Raw genomic sequence first — 19,785 nt, 5'->3', positions numbered from 1 at the left:
ATAACATCTACAATCAATTCTCATCATTCATGATAGGTATGTTCTATAAAGCCACTAAAAACACTGAATTAGAAAATACTGAACCACTGCCCTTAAGGGGAAATATAGAGTTAGGTTCCTCTGAACCACAGGTGACAACATTTTTATCTTTTTTTTTTTTTTTTTTTTTTTTTGAGTACAGTGGTATGATTATGGCTCACTGCAGCCTTGACCTCCCAGGCTCTAACAATCCTCCCACCCCAGCCACCAGAGTAGCTGGGACTAGGGGTGTGTACCACCATGCTCAGCTATTTTGTTTGTTTGTTTGTAGAGACAGGTTTTTTCCATGTTGCCCAGGCTGGTCTCAAACTCCTGGACTCAAGTGATCCACCCACCTCGACCTCCCAAAGTGCTGGGATTACAGATGTGAGCCAACAACATGCCTGGCTGCAACATTTTTATGCAATAAATATATACTCGTTTTCATATGTGTTTCTGTTTTTTTTTTTTTTTTATACTCTAAGTTTTAGGGTACATGTGCACATTGTGCAGGTTAGTTACATATGTATACATGTGCCATGCTGGTACGCTGCACCCACTAATGTGTCATCTAGCATTAGGTATATCTCCCAATGCTATCCCTCCCCCCTCCCCCGACCCCACCACAGTCCCCAGAGTGTGATATTCCCCTTCCTGTGTCCATGTGATCTCATTGTTCAATTCCCACCTATGAGTGAGAATATGCGGTGTTTGGTTTTTTGTTCTTGCGATAGTTTACTGAGAATGATGGTTTCCAATTTCATCCACGTCCCTACAAAGGATATGAACTCATCATTTTTTATGGCTGCATAGTATTCCATGGTGTATATGTGCCACATTTTCTTAATCCAGTCTATCATTGTTGGACATTTGGGTTGGTTCCAAGTCTTTGCTATTGTGAATAGTGCCGCAATAAACATACGTGTGCATGTGTCTTTATAGCAGCATGATTTATAGTCCTTTGGGTATATACCCAGTAATGGGATGGCTGGGTCAAATGGTATTTCTAGTTCTAGATCCCTGAGGAATCGCCACACTGACTTCCACAATGGTTGAACTAGTTTACAGTCCCACCAACAGTGTAAAAGTGTTCCTATTTCTCCGCATCCTCTCCAGGTTAAAGACACTTTATTTAATATACGTTTGTGATTCATATTAAACTTAGGGCCAAGAGCACTCTTAACTCGTGCCTAAACAAAGCTTACTTAACCCATGGTTTTTTCTCAGTAAGGCACATCACAGCCTTTTTGTATGTAGGAACACCAGACAGCACTTTGGCATTATGCTAAGGGACCATTTTAGACAGTGGAATTATCAACAAAAAGCACAAATATGCAAAAAAAGCAGCACTAAACAGATCATGAAAAAGATACTTGCTGAAACAAAAAGGCAGTGCATAACCTTGTTCTATCTCAACTGTGAATATGTGTATTGGGAGAATCAAATTTTCACTTCTCCGTGCGTGTTTGAGAATGATCTTAAAAGCTTGCCTAGGGTATTGATGTGGGGGTTGCAAATAAATTTTAGCAAATAGGCAAGTTTGCAAATATAGAATCCATGAATAATGAAGATCAACTGCACTTGTGAATATTAAAGATAAAATTCTAATATCCTTAGATAAAATTCTTTATATTAAGCAGAGGTCCCAGAATTTATTTTTCATTAACATGTCAAGGGTATGTAGACCTCCTACTCTAACTTTTGCAAGATCCTAGGCCTTAGAGGATGAAGAGATGGCAGTGTTCCAGTGTTCCAACAAAGTAAGATGAAGATGCTGATTTGTGAGGGTCCAAAGAACCAAGGCAAGAAAGGAAAGGCTACTCTTAAATTGTTTGTGTAATGTAGTTTATAAATGATTTTTACTCATTCGTTTGTTTAGCAAACAATTTAATATCGTAGGAATTTCGCCAGTTAGTGGACACCCAAAGCAGAATGCAATATAGTCGCTCCTATCCAAGAGCTTTTCAGCTTCTTAAGGAATGCACATAGCCTAGATTTTTGTAGCTCTGTCTGCTCATGCAGGAAATGGCAACACAGACTTGTGTTTGCTCTCCTGTGTATTTTCTCAAACTAGTCTGGTCTCCTGAATTGATGACAGTGGGAAAGTGGGATGAAGATTAAGCAAAACAATACATATTTCCCATTCCCTTAGGGTTGGTATGAGGCTGAAATGCATAAGAGAGCAAGACGGAAATTGTCAAAAGAATATATTCATGTTTCTGTTGTTGTTATTGATGATGGCAACAAAGTTATGTCATTATCATAAGTCACTGGCTTCATAAGGTAGCTGTTTGTTTTCACTGAAGTAACAACCATTTTGAAGAAGCATCTCAGGTTGTTTTCTAGAAGGCTGTTTTTATTTTTGTTTTTGAGACGATCTCACTCTGTCAACCCAGGCCGGAGGGCAGTGGCATGATCTCAGCTCATTGCAACCTCTGCCTCCCAGGTTCAAGCGATTCTTGTGCCTTAGCCCCCCAAGTAGCTGGGATTACAGGCATGCACCACCACACCAGTTAATTTTCGTTTCTTTTTTTTTTTTTTTTTTTGTAGAGACAGGGTTTCACCATGTAGAAGTCTGTTTTTAAAGACTTGCCGGAAACTGCTGGTATGTGCTCTCCTCTATCGTTTAAGGATTTCAGACCATCAATACAACTATGTAATGCAGCATTTATCATGTCTCTGCTACCAGAAAGTAAGTTGAAATTCAATGGTACAAATAATTTATATTCCTGGAATTGATTTTTTTAATGTATAAAATAAGGAAATAGCAACACAAGTTCATTTGTAGATGATCTGAGTCTGAACCTACACCATTAAAAGTGACTCACCTCTTCTCAAACTCTCATTGTCAATGGTGGTAGCATCATCAATCATTCCAGTCAGTATGAGACAGAAAGAGTTTTAAATAATGTCTTAAAGTCAGTTTTTCATCATCCTTTTCTTAACCCTAACTATCCAATTCTCAAGAGTTAGATATTGTGCATATTTTTATCCTCATTTGTACTTCATTTTAATAGGTTCTAAGATGTTCATTGCAATCTATCATTATTTTTTTCTTTATCACATAAAAGGTGAATTGGTAAGAAAGGAAGTAATTGTCCTATTTCTTCTCATGTTAAGAGTATACTAGAGTATTTGTAGGTTCTTGGCACAAGCAAGGGAATAACATTTACCACATTTGTAAATATCAAAATTTAGAGTGGAAGAGTTCAATATCAGGAAGCACTTGACTATAAGTTTTTGATAGCATTACCATTAGCACAACTCTACATATTTCTGGCTAATTTACTAATACTTCATCAATAATCATTTTTTAAGATCAACAGTTGCTTCAACAATCTACCAAAACTAGCTAAATTATATTTGAGTGAAATAATAGTGCCCAAGAGAGTTTTTACCTTTCTTTATATCTCTTCCACACATTCCACTGGCTGTTTCTTATTATTATTAAGGTGTCAGTCTTGATTGCTCCTGAATATGAAGTGAAGGAGAGGTCACAAAAGAGAGTGCCTACTTAAGGAAATGTGATTCAGAAATACAGCCATGAGCCAGAGCTGTAAATGAAAATCTGAGTATAGTCCTACATGTCAAAAAATATAGCCATCAATTTTCCTCAATTTTCAGAAAACCAGTGGGAGTTAGGGAAATGTGAGGATGGTAAATTAGTACCTAGAATGCTATTACAGAAAAATATGAGGGTGAAAAAATTTTAAAAATAAAGATCAGCATCCTGGCAGTTTATGATAAACACCAAATTGTTGCATAAATCTCATAAAACTCATTTCAGAGTTCTTACCTTAACAGTTTTATCTTGAAATATTATTGGAGTATTTCTCCAAACCCTGAAGTTGCTTCTTTATTTACTCAAGAGTAAAGTTGAGTATTTACTTTTAAAATTGACTTCCAGGCAATTGTTTTTAGAAATCTAACTGTGGGATAATATTTGCACAAGAAAAAGGTTGACTGGCTTTTTACAGGTTGTCTGCATGGAAATATAAGGTAATGTGTCTGTCCTGTGGATGGTGAGACCTGAGAAATGGTCACACACAATTATCAGCTGCACCTGTCTAATCCTGAGTCGTGCTCCAAGGATGTCAAGGCCAGTCACTCAGACTCAGTCATTCGGTCTTTAAGCACTTTTGAAAAGTCTGCTGTTTTCTAGGTACTGTGCTGAAAAAAAAAAGGGCTCGTATTTGGAAATCACTGGATCACATTGTCAAAGTTAAATGGATACAAGGTGGGGTTCTGTTCTATGTTTAATAATTAATTCTGCCACATGTTACCTCACCTTTTAATGAAGGTATGCAAAGTCACGTTTCTGAGTTCCCACTGTGTTGGGCACCATACCGGAAATTTTTACAACTGATCTCATTTAATCCTCATATTAACCCTGAAAGAAAGATCATCCCATTTTTGCAGATGAGGAAGTTGAGGTTCAAAGGGGACACAGAAATTTAACAAATAACACACAATTTGAAAACGATAAAGCTAAAAATGAAATCCAGTTAAATCTGAACTCCAAACTATACCACTCTGCTTTGGTCTTTGCAGTTATGAAGACTTTTCTATCTTTAGCAATCTATTATACTAAAACAAACACCCTTGAGGGGATTGCACCTCATGTTTCTTTCAGGGAGATGATTCCTTCATTTTCACTCAGTGCTTCAGGAAGACTCCCTTGTCTCCTCTATGCTAGAATAAAACCCCAGAATGGCATTGTAGCAGGAGAAGAGATCAAGAGCCTAGCATAAAGAAAAGAGGGAGGCAAAATGTAGGCTTCTCTTATTTTCAGTTTTATCCAGTGCCAGCCTGGGCTATATAATCCTTCTTCTCTGATATTTTGTTATAGTGGATTTACTAGAAACAGACACATTCATGAGCTACATAAACCTACAAAATCCCTAGGAAAAAAAAAGGTGGAGGGGGGTTTCCCCTTTTGGGATGCTGGTATACACAACTCCCAAAGTCCCTGGAAAATAATAGGTGATGTTATTTCTCACATGCTTATATCTTTTATTTCATTGCTTACAATTAACTTTGAGTATACACTCCTCAATGTATTCCCCAAGTGTTTTCCTTCTGCATAAAACGTGAAATGGTCAAGGGTGGAGGATTACACAGTTCACTGCAGCCTCCAGAAGTCATTGATTTCTGCATTTATTTCTTCTAGATTTCAATTTTTATTTCTTCTAGTTTTTCATGCTGGTTGTCATATGGGGTTGACAGGTGTCACAAGATGCAGCTACATACTGAAATGATGCATAACCATTATGTAAAATTTTTAAATAATACATTTTAAATTCTTCTCTACTCAGATAATTGCCAAAAATCAACTTTGATGAGAGTAATATAAATAAGATGAAGTTATTTCTCAATCAGAACCAGAAATGCTAATAAACAACACAAATCAAAGAGAGAGAGCTTCCAACTGTATTTTTGCTGAATTTAAATGCATAGAGTTAACAATGTTTATGAACATTGTTTCACTGATAACTTTTCAACTCTCTTGTTGATATTTCAGAGTCTTGGATTGTAGCCTCTAGGACTGCCCTCGAATTGTAGCACTGATTTTCGCTATCTGGAGATCCCTTCATTAATGAAGGAACAATTTTTCTCATCTTTTAAACCTTGCTTCTTCTCTCGAAATTATCACTGGCTAAAGGAAATGAGGACTAGAAGAAGAAAATCTAACAGTACAACATTTATTTCAGTATTCCTGTAATGAGGTGAATACACACACACACACACGCACACACTCCATTTATAGTTGGAGCAATATTACTGAGTAATGCCAATAGAATGACATTAGTATAACGTATAAGTGGCAGGGCTTGCCATAGGAAGGTGACCCATGGTCTATGTGGGAAATCTAGATAGATTACGGGTCAAGAGGACTAAATTACCACCTACCATCTCTGCTTTACTGTGAAAATGTATAAAATAAAAATAAATACTCATCATGCTACATTCTCTGTTTCGTTCCTAATACATACAGATGCAGATGTATACAGACAGACACACTCACCTCATGTCTAATATAGAAACATATGCATATATTGTGCAGAGTGGACACAGTGGAATAACACAAAGATGAGTTAAATGTTGATAAGATTTAACAAATTGCATTCCCTGTGGCAAAATATTGGATGCTGTTTTTCTGCATTGTTAGAGTGTTCCTACTTGACACTGGCTTTAAGTTGTTCAGAAAGATATATATGTTATTCATCCATTCCACATGGTTTACATGGCTCTGTATTTGGTGCTTTCTAATTTCTTTTGTCTCAATTCTTGCCACTTACTCTCATTATTTCTGCTATACAATTATAACCTATTAGGCTGAACTATATAAAACTGCCAATATTTAATGTTTTAGACCTATCAAATGTCAATTTCATATTTTATAACTTTAGTTAGCCAGGCTCCCCATGTTATCCCTCTCTCTAGACTCTGGTCTTTGCTGAAATTAGCCCCTCTTCACTTGCTTTGCCACACCCAGTCCCTTCCTACCTTTACTTGGCTAACTTTGACTCATCCTTTACATCACTGCTGCTTTGCCTGTTTCTCTAGCAAACTTTTCACAGGAAAAAAAAAAGGTTCTGCATGCTTTCTAAGCAGAAAAAAAAAGGTGGAGTCCAATCTTCCTTATTCTCACATCTAGCTATCTACAGCATTCACTGTTTGAAACAGTTCCATTGAATCCTTCTGTCTGCTTTGTTTACTGTTCTGTTTCTGACAATTGTCCCCACTATAGAAATATTGGTTGGGGATTTATTTATTCTTCATAGTAATTAAAGCTTATTTCTATGGCATTCACCTTCCTCGGCCAGATAAGCAATAACATCGACCTGCTGCAAATGTGTTATTCTCTAAATTGGATAAATGCCTCAATCACTACACTTTCTGGTAAAAACTAGGGACAATAGCTTTTATTACAGTCTTAAGGAAAGCTATATTTTTCACCCTTTAGTAGCCCAGTACAATTCCAGGTACTGCCAGTCTTTAATCGGATTCTTATTGATATGGATTGAGTATCTGTTCTGACATTAGGATACTTCAGAAAAAGAGCCACACAAGATGCTATTATAGATCAAAAATATTACTCCTACTGAAGCCTGAGCTTGAATCTTTTTGAAGTGGATAAAACTTTCCTAACTCAGCAAAAAATCTATAGCTGATTTTAAGGGAACATTTCTAATACACTTTCAGTAGGTCAACAATAATATAGGCACTTTTTATTTTTATTCTCTTTTAAGGAAGAGAGATGACCATAGGAGTATGAATATGGCAATCATTGAAGTAGAAAGCAAAAGACCTACAGGTTTTTCCTTTAGAAAAATATCCGTTGACACTATAATCTAATTATTACCAGATGAGAGCTATGTTATGAAGCAAAGAAGCAGGAAAATACTTAAATTTAGACAATAAAAGAATTTGAACTACAAACAATTAATTTGGGTTGTTTAAAGTGATTTCTGAAAAAAATTAAGGTCTAAGGCAAAATAGCCACTGAATTTAGTGATTATAAACAAAATGTAGTACCCAGAAGAAAAAAAGTGAAATAAAGTCAAACCATCGGGGCAATAACATTTGGCCAGACTAGAGAGTTTAGGCTTTTGTTTGCTGTTGTTGTTTGGTTTCGTTGCTCTTGTGTTTTTTGTTTGTTTGTTTGTTTGTTTTTGAGACAAACAAAGAAAGAGTTTCGCTCTTGTTGCCCAGGCTGGAGTGCAATGGCATGATCTCAGCTCATTGCAGCCTCTGCCTCCTGGGTTCAAGTGATTCTCTTGCCTTAGCCCTCCAAGTAGCTGGGATTACAGGCATGCACCACCATGCCCGACTAATTTTTTATATTTTTAGTAGAGACGGGGTTTCTCCATGTTGGTCAGGCTGGTCTCAAACTCCCAACCTCAGGTGATCCCCCACCTTGGCCTCCCAAATTATTGGGATTACAGGCATGAACCACCACACCCAGCCTGCTTTTGTTTATAATGACTTTATGATCAATTAGCCACAGAGATGCAGCACGGTGGACAAACGCTAGTGAGATTTAGGCTCAAAGTAGTTTTTCCAGGTTTCTACTTTCTAAAGTTTTGTGCCAATTTTCTGTTTGTCCAGCCCCAACTCCTCCCCTATGCACACTCAAAGAGTTTAAAATTTAAGAGACTTTCATGTGGTAGTGAATAAAAACAATAATGATCAAAATAAGTAGGCTGTCCAAAAGAGATAATTAAAAAGGATTATTGCACTATAATATAACGAAAGGAAGCAACAGAAAAAGAAAAATAAATAGGAGACTTTGGTATAATGTTTTAACGAAAAACAAGATTGATTGTTTTTCCCCCCTCTGTGGAACTAAAGTTTTTGAGATAAAGTTAATTCTGACACAGAAAATTCCAGACTAAGAAAGAGATTTCTTAACACAGGAGCCAACTATTTTTTGTCAGGGGGACTTTGAAATTATTGAGGTCAAATGGAGTCAATTCCGTTGCACCTTCAAAGTAGATTTGCATAGTTTTTCAATTTAAAGAAAGCACTTACCTTTAACACCAGTAGCTACCCATAATTTGGAGTGGGATTTTGCCCAAAGGGTGAAATAAGAAATTCTAAATTTTATACACTTTGAGGGTGAAATCCTACCTTTGTCATCTACATTATATTTTAGGTGTCTATACATATTTTATGTTTTCAAAAAAATAAAAATATGTAAGGTCACTATTTGGAGAAGAGAAAATCCCCTTGCCAACAGTGTCAAACTAAAACAAAATTCTGTATGTGAGATTATCCTGGCTGATGTACTAAATTGTTATACATTTAGAACTTATAATGTGAACTTCTTCTTGCTAAAATAGAATAAAAGGAACCTTATTTACCTTCACAACTGAAACAACTAAAAATAAAGATTAAATATTTAAAAGAATAATTTTTAGATATTAGACATCAGGTAGTACATAACTGTGATTCCTGAGAGAGAGAAAAAAATAAAGTGAGCCCTATAATTGCTTGTTATGGATTGATAACCCGTAATCAGAAGAAAAAAATTAGTTAATAGAAACACACCCAGAAATTACACAAATAACAAAGTGTGTAGACATTCATCTAGTTATTAAACAGCTATTATAACTATATTGCATATGTTCTAAGAGACAGAAGGAAGAATAAACATGTTAGGTAGAGATATACAGCCAAATCAAATTTCTAATAATAAAAACTACAATATTTGAAATAAAAAATTTATTGGTCGGTATTAGCAGCAGATTAGACACTACAGATAAGAAGATTAGTTAACCTAAAAACAAAGCAATAGAAAGTATTCAAAATAAAACATAGATAGAAAAAAAGAAATACAGAAAGTAAAACGAAAAGAACAACAGTGAGCTGTGAGGCAATTTCAGGCAGTCTACTAAACATGTAATTGGAGTGTCCAAGAGAGAAAGGTGAGAGACAAAAAAGTATTTGAAGAAATAATAGCCGAAATTTTTCCTTATTTTATGAAAGCTATAAACCCACTGATCCAAAAATGTCAACAAATCCCTAGTACTTGAAACAAGAGTACTATAAGCAAATTGCTTGAAATGTGACAGAGAAAAAATTAAAAGCTTATATTTTGTGCAGATGAACAAAGAATAATAGTATATTTCCCATTTGAAGCAACATATCCAAAACACAGTGGAACAGAACATATAAAATACTGAAAGAAAAATCTATCATCTTAGAATTCTACTCAAGGTCAAATTATTTTTCAAAAATGAAGGAGAAATAATTGCCATTTCAGACATAAAATTGTAGAAAGAATTCATCACCAACAGATTTGCACTACAACTAATGTTAAAGAAAATTATTTAAAAGAAAATGATATCAAATTGAAATATGGATGTATGCAAAAGAATGAAGAACACTGGAAATGGAGTATGCCCTTTGGATCAATAAAGGGAAGGTAAAATTGAGACGCCAATACAATAGTTTAATATTGAAGAAGTAGACAGGTTCCCATGTGCAACATTTGTAATGCAAATGGTCTAGAACTGCTTTTATGATTCTTGCACTCTCGTTCAGGTAAGATATAAGAAGTGATCAGAAACTTAAAAGATTTGCTAGAGAATTTTTGAAAGGAAATGTTTGCCACTTACATGTGCCCGCTACATCTTTTGGTGGAGAAGATGGAACACTTTCTGCTTCACTTCAAGCCTGGGATATGAAGAGTTTTGGGAACACTATAACCGCCCAAGGGGTTCACGTTGCCCACTGATTAGACAGAGCCAACTCATCAAGACAGGGAAAATGCAATAGAGAAAGAGTAATTCACGCAGAGCTGGCTGTGCGGGAGAACAGAGTTTTAGACCAGAATTTTATTATTACTCAAATCAGTCTCCCTGACCATTTGGGGAACAGAGTTTTTAAGGATAACTTGGTGGGTTGGGGGAAGCCAGTGAGCCAGGAGTGCTGACTGGTCAGAGATGAAATCACAGAGAGTCGAAGCTGTCTTCTTGCACTGAGTCAGCTCCTAGGTTGGGGGCCACAAGTTCAGATGGGCCAGTTTATTGATCTGGGTGGTGCCAGCTGATCCATCAAGTGCAGGGTCTGCAAAATATCTCAAGCACTGATCTTAGAAGCAGTTTAGGGAGGGTTAGAATCTTGTAGCTTCCAGCTGCATGACTCCTAAACCATAATTTCTAATCTTGTGGCTAATGTTAGTCCTACAAACACAATCTAGTCCCCAGGCAAGAAGGAGGTCTGCTTTGGGAAAGGGCTGTTATCATCTTTGTTTAAACTATAAACTATGAACTATAAACTAAGTTTCTCCCAAAGCTAGTTCAGCCTACGCCCAGAAGGGAACAAGGACAGCTTGGAGGTTAGAAGTAAGATGGAGTCGGTTAAGTTAGATCTCCTTCACTGTCTCAGTCATAACTTTGCAAAGGCAGTTTCAACACTTGGAGAGTTTATAGTTAGAGCATTAATCACATCTGAGAAAATTTATGTTGCCTGTAGCTGCAGAAAATAAGTAAATATATACTTTGTCTGATTCTTTCAAGTTTCTAAGAAGCAAGTTACATCTGGATGTTTTCTATGGTAAGCATTGCCTATAGAAAGTCTAAGTATGACTTGATCTTATCTATAGTCCAACAGAACAACCTAGAGGAATGGTGAGACCATGTAGTAAGTACATGGAAGTGAAAGCCAGATTCCAGAAAAAGGTGTTGCAATCAGCCAGCTAAAATAGAGGCATCTGACCAGGTCAAGAGAATTGCAGGAAAGCAGTGCAGCAATGGGAACTCACGAAATGTGCCCCAAGAATCGTCTTTTACCATTTGCTAAACTAAAGTGCACATAGCCAATAGTTGTCCTGTCTTCTCTCTCTTATCAACTTTCCCCATCTTAGATGCTGTCAAAGCACAAAACAATAGTTATCAAGTAGGGGAGGCATTGTGTGGGGAGAGAAAGCAAAAATCACCACACTTCTTTCTGAAAGACAGAAAACCACTGGCTGCAGCTTAACTTGGGAAAGGAAAGATGTATCTTTGAATAAAGATTGAGTTGAAGTCCCCAAAATATCAATAGACTTCCTGTTAAAACAGCAAACCTGAGTTTATTCAAGGGGAAAATCATACCTTGCATCATTTTAAAAATGTTATTTTGAAATCTATTGAGTTTTAAAAGAAAAAAGTATACATATACATTTATTTGTAGGTTTACAGACAAATTTCTGGAGGAACACACCTAGAAATTATGAGCGTGTAACTGCCCAATGGGTTCATCTTGCCCACTCCCTAGACAGAGCTGATTTTTCAAGACAGTTGAATTGCGATGAGGAAAGAGTAATTCACGCAGAGCCAGCTGTGTGGGAGACCTGAGTTTTATTATTACTCAAATCAATCTCCTCAAAAACTTGAGGATCAGAGTTTCTAAGGATAATTTGGTGGGTAGGGAGCCAATGAATCAGGAGTGCTGATTGGTTGGCTGGGGGATGAAATCATAGGGGGTCAAAGCTGTTCTCTTATGCTGAATCAGTTTCTGGGTGGGGGCCACAAAACTGGTTGGCAGGTCCAGGTGGGGCTATCTGGTTGTTAGAAATGCAAAAATTTGAAAAGACATTTCAAAAGGCTGATCTTAGGTTCACAATAGTGATGTTACCTTCAAGAGTAATTGGGGAAGTTGCAAGTCTTATAACCTCCAGAATAATGGCAGGTAATATCTAGAATTCCAGCTCCTCTTGACTTGATGCCTGGTGGCCTTCCATTTGTTTTCTAAGAACAGTTTAGCCTTTTGGGAAGGGCTATTATTTAAAATATGCACTAAATTTCTTACCAAAGCTAGTTTGGCCTATGCCCAGGAATGAACAAGGACAGTTTAGAGGTTAGAAGCAAGATGGGGTCAGGTAGGTCTAATATCTTTTACTGTATAATTTTCTCAGTTATGATTTTTGCAAAGGCGTTTTCATGTTCATTGTGGTGGGTATTGTTAATTGCTGTCTAATACCCATTCACTCCTTCCTAAAAGGACTCCTTGGTTTTCTTCAGGACAGCAATGTGCCTAGCCTAAAGTGAGGATCTTAAATGATCTACACCAGTCATGACAATCCTGTCTCCTGATTTCCTAGTCCCCCTAAGAACAAGCAGGGCAGGTAATTCATTTCTTTTTTTTTTTTTTTTTAAAGAAAGAAAGAAAGTCATTTAGAGATAGATTGCATGGCACTGACCTTACTCTTTCTCCTCTCTTCCTGCCATAAATGCAGATCGATGGCTAGAGCTGGAGTAAACATCTTGTAGCCACTTAGAAAGAGCAAAAGAATCACAGAGACTCTGATTCTGACATGGTGGAGCGAGCAAATCAAAGCCAGAGCCTTGACCTCTTGTTAGCTAAGATCTCTCCCAAATGTGTAACTACCAGCAGGAGCAGCATCACTTGATAGCTTATAGAAATGCAGAAGCTCAGGCCTGTCCCTAGACCTACTGAATCTGAATCAGCATATTGGTATGATCCCTAGGGAATTCATATACACATGAAAGTGTGAGACTCATTTGTCTACAAAAAGTATCCCCTTAGTTGATTAAGTTGTCATGTTTTATGTTAACTGGTTCTGAAATCATTCATACCCACATATGTATGTATCACATTCTCACTTAAAAAACCAATTACCTAAAAATTAGAAATACACATGTGATATAATAATAAAAATATTTACATAAACTTTTAAAAATGCTTACAGGCTATTTACTTACTTTTAGCATAGGTACAGAATAAACAATGAAATAAAATGTTAACAAAATTTCTAACAAATATTTTTTGAAATTAAAAATAATTTCTAATTTATCCCAAATGCCAAAGTTTTTTTCCTGTGGACCACCCTATATAGAAGCTATGACTTACTATTTAAAAGGCTCAATAATGAGATGATATAGATGTAGGTATAAATATCACTATAGAAATATATTAATCAACCTTTTTTTTAAGTTTTGTCAAATTATTCTTGTTTACTTGAGAGCTAAATTTTATCAAATGTAGGCTCTGCAATAACTGTATCCATGAAAGTAGACTGTGCATATACAGAATTTTTTTTTTGCTTGTGTAGACCCTAAATGCTAGCTAAAAGCCCAGACTGAAATCACCTGTACTTGATAAAAAAAAAACCTCCCACACTAGCATTTTTCATTTCTGCTCACTGCTCAATTGAACTGCTTATGTATCCTGGCTCTGTTGTAAAGAAATTTTGGGCTCACATCCCAGGATTGATTCCACTGCAACAGGATTGTCAGCTACAGAGGTCTGTACAATTTTCCTTCCTTTTACATTGATTTAACCAGAAGTATTTGAAGTCTTGGTCACCAAAAGTTTTGCACTAATAAAAATTTCACAGGATAACTAAAAGAAGCAGAAAGAGGTGGCTGAATTAATCAGTTTTTTGCCCATATTATAAACATATTTGTAGAATACAAAATGTATTTACTTGATAAACCAAAGAGCTATACAGTATATTCTATAAATATTTCTTGCTAAATGTCCATGCAAGGTTGAAGTGAAAAAAGACTCAGAGAAATCACTTATGCATGTAGTTTCCATTAAATAGGTCACAGCATCACTGCAGTTGAGATTATATAACCACATTTTCTATGCAGGGAAGAGGAAAAGGATATTAAAGTAGCTACACTTTTGTTTTCAGTCTAATACTGAAAATAAAGGAATGGCTAGCAGTCCATAAAAACCCACCAAACTGGTTGTACATTTTTTAAAAAATGTGTTTCTTAGTTCAATTCATGAGAACCTTCAATACCTACTTCTAGTGGCTATTCTTTAATAGGCAAAGTCTCCAAGCTATTTTTCATCTTGCAGTACTCTACATTTTTCAATTTTTTCACATCTACATCTGTATCTCCTGCTTGACTATGAGTCACATCTCTAAAACTTTGCCAGGCTCATAGTAAGCACTCAGGATTTTTTTTTTCATTTAGTTATCTGTTGGCCTTACTCCAGTTTTAGTGTTTATAGAAATCCAGATGCTCTGTTGTACTTGCAATATTCCATTTTATCCATGAATGTGCAAAAATTCTTTTGCTTGCTTCTGAGAGACTAGTTTCGCAGGAGGAAACCAGGACTGAAAGAATATATTTGCCCTGGAGCTAAGTAGGATTAAAACATATGACCTTGTATTCCTGTCTGCAAATAATTAGCTGAAATATTTTTGATAATTTCCTAATCTCTCTGGGCTTCTTGGCCTCAGAGTTTTGCTCCAGAGATGCCAATCTCCATCCAAGTTTCCCTCCATCTATAACATTCTGAGTTCTCTGCTTTTCCAATCTTCCTACTCTTCCCTCACCACTCCTCATTCCCACACAATGGGCTGAGAAAAAGTTTAGATGGGGTCAGGGTATGGGGTCATAACACTGAAAATCTAATTGTTCAGGCTTTTGTAACATGATTATTTTTAAAACTATAGATAAGGAATGGAAGCCCAAGTACAACTTTTAATGAGCAGACACTAAATTGAAATACCTTTAAGCGATGCTCCAATTCAGAAACAGTTTTCTCCACTAAGATTCATTACCACTGTCTGACACTATTACCCATTGAAATGTTTTATAAGCCCACGATACCAAAAGTTTCAAAAAGTGTCACACACCAGCAATTCCTATTACTGAAAACATGAATATGACTATTGAATAGGATGTTGACGGGGGAGGCGGCCCCAGGCAGTTTTACCTGGCCCAGTTTGTACTTCTGGAGGGAATGCTGAAAGCTGGCACTAACCTTGGGAGGACTACCTAGAACCTCTTTCTATTAGGTTAAGGTTTCTTTTAAAATGCTTTGAAACACAGAACGTAAAGAGAAATTGTGTTGTCAACAAGCAAATGTGGCTGCTTAGTGTCACCTTTTCTATTTTCTGACACACACATTTGCATAGCAATTGCCAGAAAAAATCTCTCTTTTCCCTTCTAATTGGATTGAATTGCTCCTGGATCTGTCTTCTAGTCCTGAAAAGCAATAATGAGGGGGTGGAATACCTTAAGCTAAAAGGCTGAATTATTTAAAATACTCACAAACCAACTTTAATGCCAAAGTAGCTGTTACCCCCTCTCTCTTCACTCTTTCTCTTCCTTCCCTCCTTTTCTTTTTTTTGTGAATTTGTTATATTTTTGCTTACAGACATCTAGTTATTTTATTCACTATGTCATCAGGTGTGTAACCGTGTGCATGTGTGGCATTCAACTGTGCTAACGTACAGGTCACTAGGAGCCCCTACATTAGGAGAGCCTTGCTGTACTTTTTTGTAAGCATTTTAACCCCATCCCCTGGCTACACAAACCGTGGATATGGAGAGGAGAAAAGGAGAAAACTACCTTGAGACAGAACCTGTTCTTGGCAAATTTAGGCAGGCTTTCTCAGGGCTCTCCATTTGCCTCTGCATGCCTTTTCTGCATTATTTCTCATTCCTTTCTGTCTCCTCTCTTCCCCTTGCCTATCCTCTTATTCCCTTCCCTCTCTAGCCCTTTCTCCTTCCCCTTTTCCACCCCTCCCTCCACTCTCTATCCAAGATTTTTTTATGAAATTGCTCTTGTAAGTGGGGAAAATTATGAACACATATATGTTAGGAAAATAAATATGTAACTCATTGTCTCTCCAAAAGGCATTTTCAATATTTGAACTAATTAAATAAACCATTAATGGTGAAGTTTAAGACTACTCTTTATACATATTTTTGAAAGATTCTTGGGAACAGGATGCCTGTCTATCTGCTCTTAGTTCACTCTACAGAAACAGCTATCTACTCTTCTTCTGACCAGAACTGGAGTAGTGGATGGTACCTAGAGCCTCTACCTCTATATTATTTTCTTCAGTAACTCCTCACAAGTATCCACACTACTCACACACTGATATACACAGATGTAACTCCATCTTCTGTTTATTGGCTAGTTCCTCATTAGATCTCTCACTTATGTTGAACTTGTAACCGCCCAATGGGTTCTCTTTGCCTGCTGTCTAGACAGAGCTGATTTATCAAGATAGAGGAATTGCAATAAAGAGTTTCATTCATGCAAAGCCAACTGCATGTGAGACAAAAGCTTTATTATTACTCAAATCAGTGTCTCTGAAGGCGTGGAAGTTAGGGGTTTTTCAAAGATAGTTTGGTGGGTAGGGGGGAAGGATAGGGGGCATGCTCGTTGATTGGGTTGGAGATTAAATCATAGGGAATCAAAACTGTCCCCTTATATTGAGTCTGTTCCTGGTGGGAGGTAGGGGACAGAACTGGTTGGCAGATCTAAATGAGGCCATCCAGTTGTCAAAAATGCAAAAACCTGAAAAGACATCTCAAAAGACCAATTTAGGTTCTATAATTATGATGTTGTGTTCAAGGGTAATTGGGGAAGTTGCAAATCTTATGGCCTCTCGAATAATGGCTGGTAATTATTTAGAATTCAAAACCCTCTCATCCTAACTTGGTGGCCTTTCATTAACTTTACAAGAACAGTTTAGTTTGGGGGAAGGGCTATTATCATTTAAACTATAAATTAAATTTCTCCCAAAGTAGTTTGGTCCACACACAGGGATGAGCAAAGATAGCCAAGCTGTAAGGCTAGAGACAAGATGGAGTCAGCCATGTCAGATTTCTCTCAGTATCATAATTTTCTCAGTTACAATTTTTGCAAAGGCAGTTTTAGTTTTGGTTCCTCTGCCAGAGCAAGAGGGAAACATAGAACAATGACACCCATCATAAAGAGTTTTATTTAAAAGGGCCACAGAATTCTGTTGATTAACAGCACAGTGAAGATGTCATGCCATCTGTGTAATATTGCTCATTGGTGACTTTGAGATCCTTTGTACGTGGCATGAATGCTAGATGGTTGCCTTGCGGTACATCAGATCCATGGTATTGATAGATAGGGGGTAGAGAAACTCTAGGCAAACAGGGGCAAGTCCCTGACAAAACCCCACCTTTGAGCCGAAAAGCTGAAACCTGTGGCCCAAAGTGAGAACTTTCATCCCTGTGTGCCCATTCTCTCCTGATTGGTTCTTTATGAATAATGTATTTTTACCAATCAAATGTTGCCTTTCCCAAAACTATGTACAGCCTGCCCCACCCCCATCCTGTGCCTATAAAGGCCCCAGACTCAGCCAGCAGAGAGGAAGCAGCTGGACATTGGGAAGAAACAGTTGGACAACAGGAAGAAGCTGCTGGATGCCAGGGAGAAGTGACTTTGAGAGAGTGGCTAGATGAAGCAACTTGACTTCAGAAGAGAGAGGCAGAGAGGTGGCTTGACTTTAGGGGATAGTGACCTTTCCTTCCCATCCCCTTTCCAGCTCCCCTCTCTGCTGAGAGCCACTTTCATCACTCAATAAAATTCTCCACATTCACCATCCTTCAATTAATCTGTTTGACCTCATTCCTCTGGGCACCAGACAAGAATTCAGGATGCACCATGTGCCGGTTTTGAAAAAGGCTGTCACACTGGTGCTTTGCCCTCACTGGCAGAGGGCAGCCACCCCATGAAATGAGGCAAAGGGCCCACTGAGCTGATAACACACTACAGTCTGCAGATGGTGGAGATAAGAGAGTATTGTAACACAGCTGCCAAGACTGCATGGAGTTTTTTCCTGTTGGTAGAGTTTACTCCCACAGGCGCTGAAGTGGCTGGCTGGTTCCTGCACTCCTTCATTTGTGGGCTACCTCCTACAAGGGGTGGAGCCTGGCAGACTGGAGTGAATGGAGTGTGCTCTTGCCAGGCCACTGGCCACACCTACACTTGCTTGCACTGGTTCCCACACTTGTTGACTCACACACTCCTTCCCACATGGGGTCGAGCAGGGCAGGCTGAGTAAACAAGGCATTCCTGTTGTGAGTCCCACAGAGGGATCAAGAAAATATCCTGCATCAGTATGAGATTATTCATAATTAAAACCAACAACAAAAAAAATCCATGCTGTGTGATCTGCAACCTCTGTCTAAATAGTGTGCTTCATAAAAATCCCATAAAAGGATAAGAGGAAAGGAAAAATAACAATTGCCCAAATATCTAGCGTATACTGAACCATTCATGAAAAAATCTGTGATGGAACAAGAAAAGTAAACTCTGGATTAGAAAGGAAAAGGGGTATTTTCTTTCTACACATAAAAAACATTCATCTATAACTATAGATAAAATAATGAGTCAATTAGAGAATCCCTGTCCTTAGGAATCTTGTGTCTAGTACCAGACAGAGAAATAAAGCCAACACACATCACACAGATAATGTGCAATCACAAGCTGGGTAAGAAGTCTGAAGGGAGATTACAAAGTGCCATGAGAACATATAAAAGAGAACATTTGAGAGAAAGAGACACATACACATACACATACACATACACATACACATACACATACACATACACATATACATACACATTCACATAACTTTTACTATACTATATTGTTATAATTGTTCTATTTTATTATTGTTGTTAATCTCTTCTTGTGCCTAATTTATAAATTAAACTTTAACATAGGTATGTACGTATAGAAGAAAAACAATGTATAGAGAGTTTTTTACTATCTGCGGGTTCAGGCATCCACTGGAAGTCTTGGAACATATTCCCATGGATAAAAGGAGACTACTCTATTTATGGCACCAAAGGCAAGTGTGGCATTGGACGAGGTAGGAGAGGTAGGCAACATCCAAATCATAGGCCCTTCTAGAATATGTTAGGGTTTGGGGACTTTGAAGAAAGAGCATTTGGAAGAAATAAAACTGTTTAAGCCGTTTATGCATACAAATGATTACACAGACTACACAATAAAGTAGAGGATGGAAAAACTAGACATAGGCAGAATGCTTAGCAGCCACAATGCATATATAAGATCATTCACTTGACAATTATAGTTTGGAACAGGATGGTGCTTATAAAAATAGAGATAAACAGAAAAACTGAAGAGATATTTAGGAGGTAAAATATTTATGTTTTGACGTGGATTGAATATAGAGCTAAGGATAAGGGGTAGCCGAGGATACTCTTTACTGAGACAGGGATCACTCTAGCAAGATTGTTGGAGACTTTGCAGTGAACACATTGAATTTGGATAAAAGTGAATGTGTCACATAGGCAGTTTACTATGGAATTTTAAAGTTCTAAGGAGAAGTTAGACATAGAGATTGGAAGTTGAAGAAGCCCTAGTAAGGGAAGAGGAGTTAAGAAATTGGGGAATGCTAAAAAGAAATAATCCTAAATAAGGATATATGCAAATTAATGGGGTTAAGCTGAAAATTCATGGAGGAGAACTTAGTACAAAAAGGGTTAGACTTTGT

Source organism: Homo sapiens, chromosome 3 (assembly GCF_000001405.40).
Source record: "Homo sapiens chromosome 3, GRCh38.p14 Primary Assembly".
NCBI classification, from domain to species: domain Eukaryota; kingdom Metazoa; phylum Chordata; class Mammalia; order Primates; family Hominidae; genus Homo; species Homo sapiens.
The sequence above is the reverse complement of the archived record's forward strand: the minus strand, read 5'-3'. Positions refer to the sequence as shown.